The 18,127-nt window shown below is 36.6% G+C and overlaps 1 protein-coding gene across 4 annotated transcripts in view; it reads left to right on the forward strand.

Moving 5' to 3' along the window:
* DCC (DCC netrin 1 receptor) overlaps window positions 1–18,127 on the forward strand; it is a 1,195,703-nt gene that overhangs the window by 257,410 nt on the left and 920,166 nt on the right. The window lies entirely within an intron of this gene.

An 18,127-nucleotide genomic window follows, 5' to 3' on the forward strand; every position in this document is an offset into this window, starting at 1 on the left:
CGGGTGCCAAAAAGATTAGCCTAGTGAAATACCAACATCTTTAGTAGAACAAAGATCAAAGTCAGGAACCAGAGGAAACTGTGCAGCTCTCCTACAGGCACGTTGGTGAGAAATAGAATAATTGATCTAGTAGAAACAGGTTTCAGGAAGTCAAAGAATATTATTAATGATCTTCAAGCAAGACATTCAACAAAATGCTCTAGATTCTTCTCAATAAGCTCTTCTCTGTTTCATGGTTGCAAGCTCATTTGCAAGGTAGAGAACAGTGAAGATATTCTAGAGTTGGTTTGGTTTCTAAGAGCACTGAATCATTTAAATGTCCTGTTTATTAACTCAGCTCCTCTCTATTTTGTTTTGATTTATTGTTTTTCCTGAATTTTTACATCTGCCCCTAAACAGCCTTGTTAGTTGCATGTTAGGCAGTATAACGTTGGAAAATGTGTACACTTTGGAGTCAGTAAAAATTGGATTCAAATTCTAGCTTGCTTATTTTCATGACCTTGTGTGGCCCTTAAGCAAGATACTATATTGCACTTAGACTATTTATATCTGTAAATTTGGAATAAAAAGGAAAATTGATAACGTTTAGTTTTTATACTTTTAAAAACAATTTACCATTTGCAAAGCATTATACTAAATACCGAGGTTAAGAGAATAAATAAGAGAGACCCTTAGTATGAGAGCTAAGGAAGCAAAGAGAGGGGTTACATATTTTTCATTCAAGACCCCTGATGGGGTTTTCTGATGTAAGTGAGATATTAGCTGAGTCTCAAAAAAGGAATGAGGTAGGTGGGTAAGTATGTTGAGGGAAAGCATTTCTGGCAGAAAATAGTCTAAGAATTGCATGGAGGCCCAAGAATGCATGGAGTCTCAGATGAAAGGAGTGAACGCTTTTCTATAGACAGCAAAGCTATAACTATGGAGCACCAGGATGTATGATGGGAGGTAAACGGTGGCCAGGAATAAGCCTAGAGAGCCAGCTGCAGGCCTCTTGTGCATGTCAAGGAGCTCAGGCTCTATTCTTCTGCGGATCATAGCCCATGTAGCAATTTAAATATGGAATTTGGTAGTCAAATGAAAATTTGCATTTGGATGGTGTCTCAGTCTGTTTTGTGCTGCTATAACAAAATACCTAAGACTAGGTAATTTATGAAGAACAGAAATTTATTTTTTTCATAGTTCTGTAGGCTGGAAGTCCAAGATCAAGGCTCTAGTATGTTTGGATGTCTGGGAGGGCTGTTCTCTGCTTCCAAGATGGCGCCTCAATGCTGCATTTTCCAGAGGGGTGGAATGCCGTGTCCTCCTATGGCAGAAGGGCAAGAGAAACAAACTTCCTCTATCAAGCTCTTTTATAAGGATAGCTAATTTCATTCATGAGGGAGAGGCCCTCATAGCCTCATCACCTCTTAAAGGCTACATCTCTCAACACTGTTGCATTGGGGATTAAGTTACAACATAAATTTTGCAGAGGATGTGAACAGTCAAACCACAGATGGATCAATTAGGTAGCAGGGTGATTAGGGCATTAGAGGAGAGAAATACTGGAGCCAGGGAGACCGTTTTACAGTAATCTATCTGGGAGATAGATTTTGATGCCTTCCTTAAATAAAGACTGTCTTAGAACTGATAGTCATTTTAAGAATGTTGTGAGTGGTATAAATAATACAGCAGTGCAGTTCCATCTAAAAACCAGGGGTCGAAAAACCTTTTCTGTGCAGGGCCATATAGTGTATATTTTGAGCTTTGAGGACATGTGGTCTTTGTCATAACTATTCAACTCTGCCACTGTGGCGTGAAAGCAGTCATAGACAATACAAAGGCAAGTAAATGTGGCTGCGTTCCAATAATCCAAATTTAAATTTCACAGATTTTTCACATGTCAAGTAATATTATTCCTCTTTTGATTTGTTTATAAATATATTATTTTATTTTATTTTATTTTATAAAGCCCAGGCTGGAGTGCAATGGCGCAATCTCTGCTCACTGCAACCTCTGCCTCCTGGGTTCAAGCGATTCTCCTGCCTCAGCCTCCTGAGTAGCTGGGATTACAGGCGCTGCTACCACGCCTGACTAATTTTTGTATTTTTAGTGGAGATGGGGTTTCACCATGTTGGTCAGGCTAGTCTCAAACTCCTGACCTCAGGTGATCCACCTGCCTAGACCTCCCAAAGTGCTGGGATAACAGGTTTGAGCCACCGCGCCCGGCCTGTCTATAAATATTTTAAAAAGCAAAAAAAAATCTTAGCTTGATAACCATATGAGAATAGGCAATGACTGCCTTTGTGTTGCGTGCTGTTATCGCCCCTGTTCTAACCATTGTTCCTTTTTTCCTGTTGTCTCTGGGAACCATGCCATCCCCTTTCTATGGTTCCTAAAGGCCAGTATTTATGTAATGGATAACAGTCATATTCTCAACCTTTTCAAATGAGTTTTGCTTTATTTCTGCCTTGTTTATGAAATCCTTTTCTTTCAAATAGTCATTAAACTATTTTACTATAATTTATTATTTTCCTTGAAGTGTTGAAGTTTTGTTCTTCACATTGAGGCTCTCAGTCGACCTGGAATAGAGTTTTGAATACAGTGTGAACTTTGAATGATTTGCTTCCCCCACACCTACATTGATAACTAGCGTCCCCAGCTCTATTTATTGAAATGACCAGGTTTTCCTCACAATTCCAAAATCATGCTTCTGCATGTGGAAAATCTGCATGTACATGTGAACCTGATTTTGGATGCTTTTTTCCTATTGCATTGGTCATTTGCACTCTTTTGCTAGTACCATGCTGTCTATATTATTGTAGCTTTATTATAAATCTTGATATTTGGGCAAGAAAACACACCTAACTTATTTTTTTTCAAAAAGTTTTTTGCCTTTTTAACATTTTGTTTTTGTGGTATGCATACCAGAATTAGCTCATCAAGTTGCCACTAAAAGCTCATTGGATTTTAATCGAATTGCTTTGACTTAATAGATCGATTTAAGTACACTAAACGTCTTTACCATTGACTCTTTTTATAGATAATCTTTGCATTTATTACTTCATTTCTTTGGATCTTCTTTAATCACTTTCAATAAAGCTTTGTAATTTTCTCCTTAAAAATTTTGCGCATTGTTGTTGTTGGTGTTGTTTTTTAACTAGGCCACTTGTTTTTAGTTTTTCCTTTCCTTGACATTTAGAAAATTACAAAATATAACTGTGTTCATGTTAGGCTTCTGCCACTTACTAACAATAGCTTGAATAACATTTGTGGCTTGTAAAATATTCTTTGAGTTTCAATGTGTTAAAAGTCTCATCCCTAGTGAGTAAATTGGGATTTACTATATAACCCAAAGTTATATAGTGCCAAGATTATGAAACAAAAGATCTCATGTAGATGAAAATTAATGCAGTAAACCTTTTCATAAAAAGGACTTTTACATGTGGGTCATAAACTGCTTCTGAGTCGAATTTCAAAAAAATAATAAAAAAGCCCAGAAATCTCATTATCAAAGGCAGAATTATCTAAGTTGCTGTTTTCTAAGGAGGTAGACATCTGGCTGTATTAATTCAGTCATTTTTAATGAAACAGTCTCTTACTCTCTATAAATTCAGAGAGTTAATTTATGTTTACTTAATGTTTATTTGCATGCCTACCTACAATCTATTATACATGTGTCTTTATTATCTAGTTTGTGATCATATCATAAATTCAAATTTCTATTATTTATCTATCTGGAATTTTGACTCAACTTTGTAGTTTACACTTTTTTTTCCCCTGTTTTGAAGTGGTTATAGATTTTCTTGCTTACCTGCCTTTGTAAACATCTAATCTCCTGTTATCTTACTCCCTTGGTCAGGCTGTCAATAATATAAGCTTATTCAGTTTTCCTCTATGTATCTTGACTTCTACTTCCGAAGCCTCTAATTATAAACTGAAGGAGTTTGCCATTTTATCTTTTTTCTTCCTCCTAATGCCACATAAATATGAACTTTTCTTTTTTGAACTATTAACTCCTTCTGAGGTTTTCAGTTAGCATGGATAGCTTACCAAAATTGCAGCCATCCTTAGAAACTGCTCTAACCCTCTCTCCTACATATTACCAATCATCATTTTAAAACTTGTAGAATTATCATGATGTAAATACTAGTGTTCTTAGATCTTTTTGCATGCCTATATTAGCACAAGTGTATATATTGTTCTGGTCCAATTTTGCTTCCGTCTTATGCAGGAGTAACTCTAAAACCTTTGTATTCCAGGGCCAACTAAATATTTGAGTCCTGAATAGTCACTGGGCACATTTTTCTGTAATTTTCTTACTTTTTTTGACTTATCTTCAAATAAATTGATGACTTTATCACTTCTCTCATGCACTAAGCTCTTGCTCTTCTGTGAATTTCCCTGACTTGGGATCAGTAATCATCACTGCAATTTTTCAAAGAAATTAAAGGTAAGGGAGCATCACATATTAGATGAAATAAGTGTGTACATGTGAATCTATCCAACATATCTTTCATTCTTCAAATGAAAATAGTCACATATTTATAATCCTAAAGAGAGGTCTAATTTCTAATGAGCACAAATGTGTTTACTTGAATATATGATTATTTCCTGAAAGTCTCTTTGGTTACCAGAATGCTTTTGTAGGTATTATGAGTAAAATAGAAAGCCTTGATTTGTTCAGGGGAATGAGGCATTCTCGTAAATATGTATTTTTATACAATGTAGATAGCTGATCATATAGGGTCTTCTACCTTATCTCTTATGATTGCTAATTTTCTCAAATGTTTGTGTCTGCTTCCCCTTAGTATCAAAGTGTGTGTGTGTGTGTGTGTGTGATTCAACTTACAACATATTTCTTTTAAATGCTCATTTTTCCCTCTCAACATTATGCCAGCAGGGGATCAGTGACACCTGGTTCAGTATACACATTCTACCCGTCAAAAATAACTCATAAGTTTAATAAATTTTGTGCATAATATAAACAGTTAAACTCTTTCTTTAGTAATATGCCTTTATTAAAATCACGTATATTCAACAATAAGTTGTCTCATGCTTACATTAATACTCAAAGGAATTACGGTGCAAATACAAAAGAGACGACTTTTTTTTTACAATGAAAAATACTCTAGCAAACGAGATTTAACACAGGTTACTTTTTATGCCCTATTTTGCAGGATTTAGTTTATTTTCAATGTTACCACTTGACAAAGGAATACAGTACCTTTTTGCCTTATGCCTTAGGTCTATTGGTTTAAAATTGCTTTGCACAATTAAAGGTGCAGGTTATTGTCACACTTAACCTGGAATATTACCTAGAGTTGGAAATACTGCTGCCTGACATAATGCAAAGTATAGAGGATAGACGGGCTTTTCCTACCTATTGATCAGTACAAAAAGACACATTTATGTTGACAAGAAAAGAGTATCTAATGGCCTTTCCTTGGATGAGTCAAAACACAGTGCTTTTGAACATGTAGCTCACAGATCACTGCTTCAAAATCACCTGAGAAGCACCTTTATAGTGTAATTTCAAGGACTAATTCCAGACCTGCTTGATAAAAATCTCTAGGGATGGAGACTGAAAAGCTGATATTTACAATAAGATGACTATAGGGAAACCAAGACATACTAAAATTTGAGGCAACCGTCTAACTGAAAAGAACATGTGTGACAGGGTGGTTCTAGTCCCAAATCTAGCTGATGACAGAGACCTTGGCCCATTCTATTATTTAGCTTTGGGCCTCTGCTTTCTCATCCATTAGACCGAGAATTAGGAGTAGGTAATCTCTAATTCCCTTCTAGCTCTAAAATTTTGTAGATGTAGCATTTTTAAGACAGTAAAGAAAAGGAGAATAGGAAAACTATCAAGATGGGAAAACTAGGTAGAAAGTAAATTTCATAAAACCTATAAAGACTAAAGCAAAATAAAAGTTTAACTTAAAAAGTTGAGATTATTTTTTAAAAAAATAAACGTATTTAGAAACCCTAAAATGTGAAGTTAATACACACACACACACACACACACACACACACACACAGTTTATTCTCTTAAAACAAAAATTGACAAAGCAAGGAATATGTCACAGAAATCTACAGTTAAATAAAGAAAAAAGGAAAAACAGAAAGGAATGACACTGCAAACATTAGGCCTGAAGAGAGAATTTTTTTGATTCAATAAAGAGAAAACCTAAAAAGAAGAAGCTAAGCTTTCTTTAGAGCATTTTACATTAAAGAGCATATGCTTTTCCTTCTTGATTTAATTTACATAGATTGTTCTATTTTTCATTTTTCCTCTCATTTTATGTATGTTTACTAAGAAATTTATCACTTTGTTTTCTTCTGAATTTTGAAATTTGGCCATAATTTATGTCAGAACCTATATTTCCTTGTCAATATTTGCTAGGTTTGCAGTAGTGCTTGGGAATGTGTGAAAGGTTATTTTTTTTTTAAGTAAAGGTGGCATCTAAGATGATAAGTAGAAAAGTTCTTAATTAATTAGCTTGACAATCCTTCTCACCCACCACTGCTAGATTAATTTTATTCGAATGTGTTTTCTTTATGTAACTCTGCTGTTCAAGGACTAAGAGCCTCAACTTGGCATTTGATGCTCTCGGTATTCTGGCTTCATTTCATCAATCTGACCAAATGTCTCCTTCCTTATCAACTTCATTACCCCAATTCTGTCAGTCCCATCTCAATAATCAGCTAGTCAGAAAGCTTCTCAAGGAACAGGGAACATCTGATAGCTTCTATGTATATCAGTTATGGTTTCATTTCAGCCACCTACCAGAAACAGCAATGGCTTAAACAATAGGTGGCTATTTTTCTTCCCTCCCAGTAATAAGTCTGAAGGAATGCAGTTGCTGTAATTTTATTTAAGCAATGACCTTTTCCTCATGTTTGAAAAGTGGCACTTCCCATTATTTCTGAGTTCAAAGTAGAAAGAACAGAGAAGGGAGGAAGGTTGCACCATCTGTGCCTGTCCCTTCTTTGTGGGGAAGGAAAAGTCTTTACCAGAAGTCCCCTCCCCAGATTTCCACTGACATCTCAGAGGCCAGAATCACACATAGTATGTCCATTTCTAGCTGCAAGGGAAGCTTGGAAGTGAAGTGGTAGCTTCCCTGCTTTTATAGTGCAAGGCAAAGGAGAAGAGTATGAGGGAATGGACAGGGGTCATCCATCTCATTGTCATTTATTTGCTTGATTACATTTTATGCAGATTATACTTGTGATATGATCTACACAGTCATCATATAAATTATCTCCTCAATGAGTTTGTATACTTTTCAAGAGCAGAGGATAGTATTCCCAGTTGGTATGCTTCAAAGTGATTAGCTCAAAGGGGGCTCTTAATAAATATTTATTGGCATATATTTAATGCACACTCATCTGTTTGGGGCAATATGGTTTACTATAAGGAGCTGAAGTTCTGGAATCTAAAAAAATGGAATTTGAGTCATTAATCTCCTATTTAATAGCTATATCATGGTCACTGACTTGTCAGGTAACATCTCTTAGACTCATTTATTTTTCTGTGAAATGGATAAAGATAATTAAATGTACTTTATTAGGTCTGTTTGAGACATAAATGTGAAGATGCGGGTGGAAGCCTATTATAAACAATTAAGCACTAGATTGGAAAAGTTAAGCACTGTTCTTAATATAATATTTTTAAAATTCTGGAAGAAAAATTGGCTAAGTGACAAATTTGCAAGAGGCAGTGGAAGTTATTCTCTTACTGTTATATGACATTCCTTTTAAAGTGGTACAGCTAAACCAGGAAAGAGACTGCAATTACAACTAAGAAGCTACTGCATTCGATTTGTTAGGCTTTCACAACTGCTTCTACAATCGCTAAGATTAACTTGCCATTTGTTCTGATATTATTGCAGCTGCAAGCAGCATACAAAGATGTGGTACTTTAGAAGAAATTTAGAACTCCAGAAAATATTGTCTAATCAGCAGTCCTGCTCAGTAGCGGATAGAGAACAGAGTGTAAAACATTTACAATTATATGTGGACAATAGCATTCAGCCATATATTGGTATTCTGATTTAGATACTCATTAGAAAATGTACCCCACCTTGTCTGATTACAGTTGGATGATATTGCTATCCTTACTCTTTCACTGAGCTACACTTAATGACTAGACTTTATTTGGGATATCAGAGAGTGGATATTACCTGAGTAAGGGCATTACTTATGAAGGATAATGGAAATAATTATATGTGAATTCAGCACCCAATCCACAGTTGCTTCCTCTGACACCAGTCAGTAATCTCATGCAGCTTAATATGGTTCTGTGGTTGAGGTTAGGTGAGTAATTGTCGTATCAATTAAGTAAATTAAACTAATTTTTTTAGCTTTTATTATTCAGATCACTTATATTTGCATACTACAAAGAATGCAATCTTTCAATCTGGGTTACCCTAAGTTTCACTATCCAGTGGAATGACAGAGAAAAGAGAAAACAGTGTCATATAGGTGGTTTTGATGAGCCAGGCCTGGAAGTGACCCATAGTAAATTTTCTAGAAGTCAGTGTGAAATTGCCACTTCTATCTTCAAGGAAGGCTGGAAAATATAGTTAGCTCTGTTCCCCAGAAGAAACAGAAATGCATTTTGGTGAACACAAAGCAATTACTACTACACAGTGCTACCATTTACTATCTATGTATTGTTGGACAAGTTGCTTAAACTCCCAGACCCAATTTTCTAGTCTATTAAAAAAAACAACAAAAAACACCATAATACTTGCCCTATTGGATTTTGTGATGTCAATAAGAATGACACATTTAAAGACCTTATCCAGTGCCTAGTACAAAGTAGGTATTCTAAAACAATATTATTTCTGTTTAGTACTCTATGGAAAGAAAACACATAAACATACGTGATCATTATTCTAATTACTTGACAATCTAGTTGAAGAGCACATTATATGATGGCAGGAAACATGAAGGGATATTTGATGAATGCCAAAATATTCTCAGAAGATAAAGATCGCTATGAACTAGGATTCAATTCAGGAGATAGTTGTAGTAAAGATTTTAATTAGCCCCTGATGGAGGGGTGGAAAGAGAATTTAGATATTTAATACTTGATATCAATCATTAAGGAGATTTTCTAGTTTGTTTCTTTATATCAGAATTGCTTTTGTAACTGGCTCAGGACTTTGCAGATAGATTATGAGAGTAACATGTGGGGAAGAGCAAATTAAGTAAGTATACTGGATTAAGTCATTAAGTCAATGGAAATGTTTGAAAAACAAAGTTATGGCCAATCTATCAGAGCTGTGATGACTTCCTGATTAAGCTATTATTTATGACTTCCTTCTTTTTCAATTCCTTTTGAAACTTCTGGAAATTGGGATAGTGAAGAAGGGAAAAGAACTTTGTATGAATCTATACATTTTCACGCATGTTGAAATGCTAAAGGTCATTTTTTTGCTATATTTGTCAGGATGGCCAGGAACAAACACCAAAATCTCAGTAGCTTTACACAACAAAGATAGTATGTCCAATATGGAATAGCAGGAAATTTGCTCCCTATCGTCACTAACAGAGGCTCTAGGATCATTTCATGCTGCCATGTCCACATCTCAACTCCATGACCACTGTGGCAGGGAAAGAGATGACCACTCTGAGCTACCTCAGACTGGATATGGCATCCATCACTTTTGCTCTGGGGCCATTAATCAGGATTTTTCACTTAGCCCCTACTTGCAAAGGGATGAACATGTCTTTCCTTGTGCCCAGGATATTAGAAGATATCCAGGTACAGTGAGCACTTGAAGTCCCTACAACATCGGGGTACCACTTAAAGATGGGATTTTCAAGATCTAATTGGGCAAAGTCTAAAGGTAATGAGCAAATTCAAAGTGACCATAGAGCGTACTTTTTGGCAATAAAAATGCTATCTATTTGACTGTCTGCCTATAGCTCAAATCTGAACCAGTGAAATCCGTGGGGCAAGGAACTGTCCTCACCAGAGTCTTCTTTAGAGGAAGTTTCTCACATCTTCTCACTTTACAAAGTTTTTGATTTATTTGATTTTAGTGAAATCACTTACATAATCCCTTCATTTTGCGTGGTATCATAAAGAATACAAAGAGTACAAAAATATCCATCTCTTAAGAAGTTTAAAATATTGCAGGTAGAGTTTATATTCTATGACAATTTGATATCAATGCAATGTAAAATGCTGTGTAAAAATGATGCAAAAAGCATTAAAAACAAACAAAAGATGATTAGAGATCTGGGCTTCAGAGAAACAGGGAGGTTTTCTGAGAGAGATAACACTTGAGTAGGGCCTTGAAATTGGATGAGCAGTGGGAAAGATAAATGATATTTTGGAAAGAGGCAAGCAATGTGTGTTGGGCATAAATGTAGGAATGATAGTGACTTGCAACATGGAGGAACCTCCGGGCCCTATTTTCAAGGATTTTTTTTTCCTATATTTTGAGAGCAACTTCTTTATAAAGAAATGGCTTTTCTGATGCTCTATCTCCCTTCTTTTCTTTCTCCCTGTCTCTGCCACCCTAACCTCTCAACTTCTGTGTCTGTGTATCACTTACCATTCCCTTTATAAAATCAGGAGTCAGCATTTCTAATACTCTGTTTTAAGTAGTAGGAGTTCCGTCCCACAAATATTAATGAGCATCATGTATGTGCAAAGCAATGGAATTTGGGGATAAATACACAACAGACCTTGTTTTGAACACCTTATATTCAGCTTGAAATCTTTACATATAAACAATAGATGCTAATAGTGAAAGAGAAGCAGAGAGAGGAGAGTTTGGTTTTTGAGACCACTGAGGACCTGGCCTTCCCAAAGGGGACAGAGAAGTGTTCTGGAGAAGACGCTCTCTGAACCAATTCCTAAAGAAAGAAGGAGATTTATCCACTTGGAAACGAGAGGAGGGGACCTCTAGGCAGAGAGTATGGTGTGAGTAAAGATATAGTAGTGTGAAAGAGATTACTGGAAGTTAATTTCCCAGAGATTTGATATTACTTGTGGGTACATAAGAACCACATAGGAGAAGTAGTCAAGAACCTGCTGTTAGAAGGCACTGAGTGCCAACTTAAGGAACAATAATTTTATAGGTAAGAAAGATGCCATTTCTGTCATGTCTAGAAAGCAGGCACTTTTATCCTTAAACCTTGCACTATGAACTGGCCTAGGTAAACATACATTCTCAAATTTGCCTGAGGGAGTGATAATTTCTAAAACTAGGAGAGTGGGATGTAAAAACCAAACTTGGCTTCGTGTTGCCATCTGCCCTGAGATATGTGCACAACTCACATAATTTCCTTACATCAAATTCTACCATCAGACAATTGTCCGTATTTTCTCAGGAAAATGAATTCCTGTGGGTCCAGCAAATCCCATAAACTCCAGTGAGTATTTGAAGCAAGCATCCAACTCAGACTGAGAGTCAATGCAACATGTTTCAGTAAAATGTGAATCCAGGCTCACACAGATTGAGACATATTACTTGTAAATGTAAATAAATATAAAGGTGTGCTTTTCTATTTTTTGACAGGAAGGAATATTTGATTCATATGTTTAATATGCTTTGCCTCTTTTGCCGAGGTACAACATAAGGAAATGCTATTCATCATACAGAGAAATTTCAGAAACAAATTTCTTAGAAATAGGAACAACCGATCAGAGAGTGAAAGGCGAAAAAAAGTGAATACGATTTATCTAAGGGGGAAATTTAGTTGTGTTGACAATTCTGTGTGTTCAGTAGTTTGGAGGTGTTAGGACTGAGACAGACGAACAGAGGTTTTGATCTTATTACAATATAGCAGCTAGTATGCCGGGTGGCTTAAGCAACATTCACTCCATTTGTAATTAACATGTATTAAGCATCCTAAGGCTTGGCTGTAATGTTGGATTGGGTCTGGGGCAGGCAGCTTCTTCGTTGGATGGAGCTGGGTGTTAACATGGCCAAGATTATTTGCTTGGCACCTATAAGGACCAACTTTTACTGATGATATATTCTAGAATTTCTGGGGCATCTTGATTTTAAACATTCCTCTCTGTTATTACCTCCAGCACAACTTTGCTGTAGAATTTTCAATCTATTATATGCTGTGGAATTCTGATTACTTCTTATATCTGGACGGGGACCTGAAAAAAAAAAATCTTTGTCAAATTATGTGTTCTGAATTTTGGTTTGGAAATTATAGGATAAAAAATGCTAGAAGATATAGATGACTCAAATATCTTGAACTGAACTATCTTACAAGAAAAGCCCATAAAACAGGAGCTAAGTTCATGGTATGTTGATGATATCACTGTATAAGGTAGGAGTGACAGCCTTATTGTCTGGATTTTAAAGGATTTTTATCTTCAAAAGGGTAAAATAGGTTAAATGTACTGGTTTCTAAAAGAAATATTAACAAATGTTTATTTTCTTTGCTTTTAAAATACCATCTAAGACTGGGCGCGGTGGCTTACACCTGTAATCCCAACATTTTGGGATGCTGAGGCGGGTGGATCGCCTGAGATTAGGAGTTCTAGACCAACCTGGCCAACATGGCAAAACCCCATCTCTCATAAAAAAAAAAAAAAAAAAAAAAAAAAAATATATATATATATATATATATATATATATATATATATATATATATATAAAATTAGCCAGATGTGGTGGCAGGCGCCTGTAATCCCAGCTACTTGGGAGGCTAAGGCAGGAAAATTGCTTGAACCTGGGAGGCAGAGTTTGCAGTGAGCCGAGATGACACCATTGCACTCCAGAATGGGTGAGAGAGCGAGACTCTGTCTCAACAAAAAAAAAAAAAAAAAAAAAAAAAGAAAAAGAAAAAGAAAAAAAAAAACACCTAAAATACCTTTGGAAATACTATTTTCTGTGGGGGAGAGTTGGTGTATACTGGGTAAGACTGACCATAAAACTAAAGGTTAGTTTTATTCAAGGATAATTCAAGGATAGACAAACTCCTTTCCATAGAAAAATATACAGCAGAACAATCGTTGAAATTGACATGGACCCCTCTACACAGGGAATTGGCAGCCTTTCTCCTAAAGGATCAGAAGTAAATATTTTCGGCTTTGTGAGTCATGCCGCTTTGGTGACAGCCCTGCTATTACTGTCTGAAAGCATCTAGACAATATGTAAATGAATGGGTGTGGCTATGTTTCAATAAAATCTTATTTATGGGCCCTTACATTTAGATTTCATATAATTTTTTAAGTTACAAAATCTTCTTTTGATTTTTTTTCTACCCATTTACAAATGTAAAAAAACATTATCAGTGCATAGCTATATGAAAACAGGTGGTGGGCTAGATTTTCCCCAAAGGCTACAGTTTGCTGACTTTTAAGTAGTGTAAATTTTGGCTTTCTTTCTCATGTTCCTTCTGTTCAGTTTTAGAATTTTCCCCTTTTGACAGAGATTTAGGAATGTTTGTTGCCAAAGTGGTTAGAATAAATAGTGGTAAAATGTTGTAGGTATGTTTAATCAGTTATGTTTTGTTTTTAATTCTCACTTTTATTTTCTCCACCTATAAACCTTCAGTGACCCCCCCCTCCTGACAACCACATCTTGTATCAGTCACTGTAAACTTCTGCTGATTTCAGCTCACAGGGTGTCTTTCCCAGGTGTGTGCCTATACCCCGCACCTGGAAGAAAACTCCCTCCCTGCCATCTTTCCTCTGAATAGTTCTTAGGAGTTCATCAAGGTCCCATTCAGTTCTCACATCTAGTAGAAATCTTTATAGCCATTCCCTAACATACTGATAGGTACAAATATATAGTTTTGTACCTAATTTTTTATACACTCTCACACATGTTTTTCAGTACTCCGAGAGGCAGATGAATTCTTTCATTAATACATTGATTAATTTTTCAGTTGCCCCTTGATACAAAGCATGTGTCTGAGCAGGTGCTGGTGGGTAAAATGTCCTGACTGGCTGATGTATGCAGAGATAGTCCTCTTCCAAAAACTGTAAGTAAACTGTCTTTTAGATCTTCATGTTGGGTGTCTCCTATTAGCTTTATTGAAGAATTACAAACAGCAACAGACAATAAATAGTTCAGTAATTCAAATCTACTTTAGAATTCCCATTCTGACACTAACTGCTTGATTTTAGAAAAGTTAAGTAAACTGTTTCAGCCTCAATTTTCTCATCTGTATAATAGGATCACTGATTTCTACCTTGCAAATGGACAGAATAAATTACATGATATACTACATGGTTTATAATGGGTACTCAGAAATGGTAGCCATTATTAGCTTACTTCAGTGTGCTGTGGGGTAGTATGGGAATATGAAGAATATAAATGATTACATATGTGATTTAGAAACACAAAAACTTTGGCATGAAGTAGACAATAAACTAGAGGAGAAAACAGAGATAGGTTTTGGCATTGGATTTTTTTAAATAAGTATATGCTTTTCCCTACAAGATTTTATTGGGAGTTGAGGCATTCATCCACACTTCTGTGGGTTGATGACTCTCCTGTTGATATGCTTACCCAGAATTTCACTCCAAACTGACATACCCCAATACTTACTCAATTTCTCTTCAGATCTCTCGAAATTAATCTGGTATAATTTGCTCTTATCTTTGCAACAAGCCCCTTCCTGCTCTAGTGTCTTTGGCTCAGTCAGGTGATGCCACCCTGCACTCAGTTATTCAATCCAGAAACGTGGGGTTCTTGCCTCCTCCATCTTCCTCATCTCTCCCCCCATCCCCTGCCAACATGCCCAATTAATCACAAGGTTCCCATCAGTTCTCCTCTTAACTATATTCTTATCATTTTGTGGTCATCACTCATACCTACTCTTGCCTTCTACAAAATTCATTGCTCCCACTATAGTCAGAGTGGCTTTGATTTTTTTTTTTTCATTTTTAGTACAAAACTGGCCATATCAATCTCTGCTTAAAACCCTTCACTAAAGTTTCATGGCTCTTAGGATGGAGTGTAAATTCTTCAGTTTGACTGAGCAGGCATTAACATGACTGAACCCCTGCCCTCTCATCAGCCTCTTCTTATCTCACACTCTGTCTTGCTCTCTGGACTCTAGACATACTTGTCTTATTTTATTACTTCTGTTTCTAGAGCCTTGATGGTTGTTCCTCTTGTATTGTATGCTCTGCATTTACTTAAATGGATTTGATTGTGGAAATTGTTTTTCCTTTAGAAAATATATCTCATAAGTATATGTTGGTACTTTAAACATTTTGCCATTTTTGCCTTATGTAATCTCTTGCACAGCACCTGTCTGAATGGTTGACCAGCTGATGACTGACCACTTCTGTCGAAGAGAAACTAAGAATCCTTCTGCATGTAACATATTATGTTATTTTGGGGTGTTTCACATCAAATTACTCAAAGTTCGTCTTTTGCTTTGTTGCTACTACAAATAAGTCTATATCTGTCAGGCATTTTGAGTGATAAGAAGCTGTTCTTCCTTCTCTACTTTGGATGTTATAGACAGGATGGACATCATGCTGGCTGCCATATCTCTAGGCAAGCCTCCTCTGGAAAATGTTAGTGATAGGGATGCTTCATTTGCATGATTTTTATTATTTTCCCCTAATGTATCTCATGGGATGATCACAACAGATCTGTGATATACATGAAGGAGGTTTTCTTTTGTCTTGTTTTTGTTTGTTTGTTTGTTTTTGTTTTTTTCTTGTTTTGTTTTTGTTTTTGAGACAGAGTCTCTCTCTGTAGCCCAGGCTGGAGTGCATTGGTGCTAGCTCAGCTCACCGCAAGCTCCGCCTCCCGGGTTCACACCATCCTCCTGCCTCAGCCTCCCGAGTAGCTGGGACTACAGGCACCCGCCACCACGCCCGGCTAATTTTTTGTATTTTTAGTAGAGACAGGGTTTCACCGTGTTAGCCAGGATGGTCTTGATCTCCTGACCTTGTGATCCGCCCGCCTCTGCCTCCCAAAGTGCTGGGATTACAGGGGTGAGCCACCACACCCATCCTGTCTTGTTTTATTTTATGCTTAGGAATCTATTTAATTTAAAAACATGTGATGTAACCTGTAAGGTATCTTCATAGAGTTGGTATCTAGTAGACATCAATCTATGGATCAAATACCCTGAGAGCTGGTCTAACACTTAAATAGCTGTACCCCTCATTCTTTCTTCTCTCTTCCGCATAGGAACCATGAGTTTCCTTTGTTATAGTGGTGAACTTTTTTGTCACATCCAGGTGGAGGAAATTCTGGGTATTCGCTGAGAGCAAACAAACGGACACACGTTGGGTCCTATACTGGTGGTGTTATATCCAACACTGGGAAGGCTATTTCCTCATCATGCTGCTTTCAGGGCACATGGAAACACTAGAAAAGAATTATTAGAATAGAGTTAGAATTCCAGTTAGGATAGAAATGTTGGGAAGTGTGTTGGTGTTTGTGCCGGGATGTTAAGCTCAGGGCAAAGGGATTCCAGACTGTTCTGGAATAGATTATTTGGTACCAACGCTTTCCAAATTTTTTTTTCTTGCTTCTCTGCCAGCCTTTTGGAATCAAACTGGAAGTTCTAGTAACACTTGCTTCTGTCGCTGCCAAAGTCCCTGCTGGTGAAATTAATTCCCTATGTGTTTAATGCATATAATTTAATGTTAAAAATAAAATGGTGAGTCTTAATTGCTTAGGTGGACGAAGTGTACTAAACTGTAAGTTACTGATATTATAGGTCTCTTTGAAGGTGACCTTATCAATGTGTGGCCTTCAGTAGGAACTCTGGCTACTTCTTCCAAAAGAATTGAGTGTTATTCTCCAGAGATCTGAAAGGAAGATTGCATCGTGTTCATTAGCATCTTGGTTTTCTGACAGTAAAGAAATACTTTGTAGCCCAATCTTTTTAGTTGCACCTAAAAATATTAGGTTGGTACAAAAGTAATAGTGGTTTTTGCCCATTACTTTCAAAGTTGCTTGTGACAGTGTTGACGGCTACACCAACGATTTGTCTAAGATACGCATTTTATCATGCACCTTGAGGATAATACCCCAGCCTTACATTCCTTATAGAACTTGAAGTTGTGTCTCACTCTTTCTATAAATGTGTCAGGGAAAAAATAGATAAAAAAGGAAAATTGGCAAGCATTTTCCCTGTCAATAATAAAAACAAGACCAGAAAGATAGTCCCTTGGTGAATAAAATCTTGAATATAAAGCATGTTACATCTGAAAAAAAAATCTCAAATTTCAACAGCATGATGGCATATGTGTCTCTATAATGTATCCTCAGCTGATGGTATCAGGGGAACATGAGACATTTGAGAAAATAGTAACATAAAAACGAACATTGGGGCATGTCATCCAGAGTGGCTACTGAGAGAATACTACTTGTGAGCAAGAAGCTCCCTCTCCCCCTTTTCACTCCGTTTTTAACTCAGCATTGAATTAAAATGAAAGAAAGGGAAATATATATATTTTTTCCTTTTAGCAGAAAATGTCATGGAAATGTCAGAGTTCTAGGTGATTACATCTCTCTTAAAAGTCGATAGCTGCAAATCATGGAATCCCTTACTACATTGGAAAATATTAATTTTGAGTAAAAGCATCATTTTCCTGAGATGTGGGCAGGCTCTGAAGCTTTGGAAAGGTGCTTCAGAATGGAGTGTAACCCAGAGCCACTGAATTCTCTGAATGACTGTCAGGTTCTGATCAATTTATGTCAGTTGCAGACAGATTTATGTAACTCTTTCTGTCCTGCCCTCAGATCACATCCTTTGAGTGCTCTGCTCATTCCTAAGTGCTTCTGCCGTTTAGATTTACTTGTATTAATAATTCTGTTTTCAAGATTCAAAGCGGTGGGAACAGCCCCTTTAGAAAATGACATTCAGAGATGTTACATGGAAAGAATGGGGCACCTTCAGAAGCTTCTAAGTCTTTTTCCTGGCTTTAGGCAGAACTGATCTTGTGTCATGCAGATCAGTATCTAGTCAGGCTTTAAAGATCCTTGTCAGTGTCTTGATCTTTTTGTACAAGCCAGGGTCACATTCCATTCCATTTGTTATCAGAGAGTTTCTCTTCACTGCTGTTCCTCAGCTGCAAATTCACTTTCTATATGTAGCAGGATGGGGAATAGGGCTCTTCTAATCATCAAGGAAGTTTGGTTAAGTACCCAAAATTGAGAACAATTAAAGACAAGTTCTT

Source organism: Homo sapiens, chromosome 18, assembly GCF_000001405.40.
Source record: "Homo sapiens chromosome 18, GRCh38.p14 Primary Assembly".
NCBI classification, from domain to species: Eukaryota; Metazoa; Chordata; class Mammalia; order Primates; family Hominidae; genus Homo; species Homo sapiens.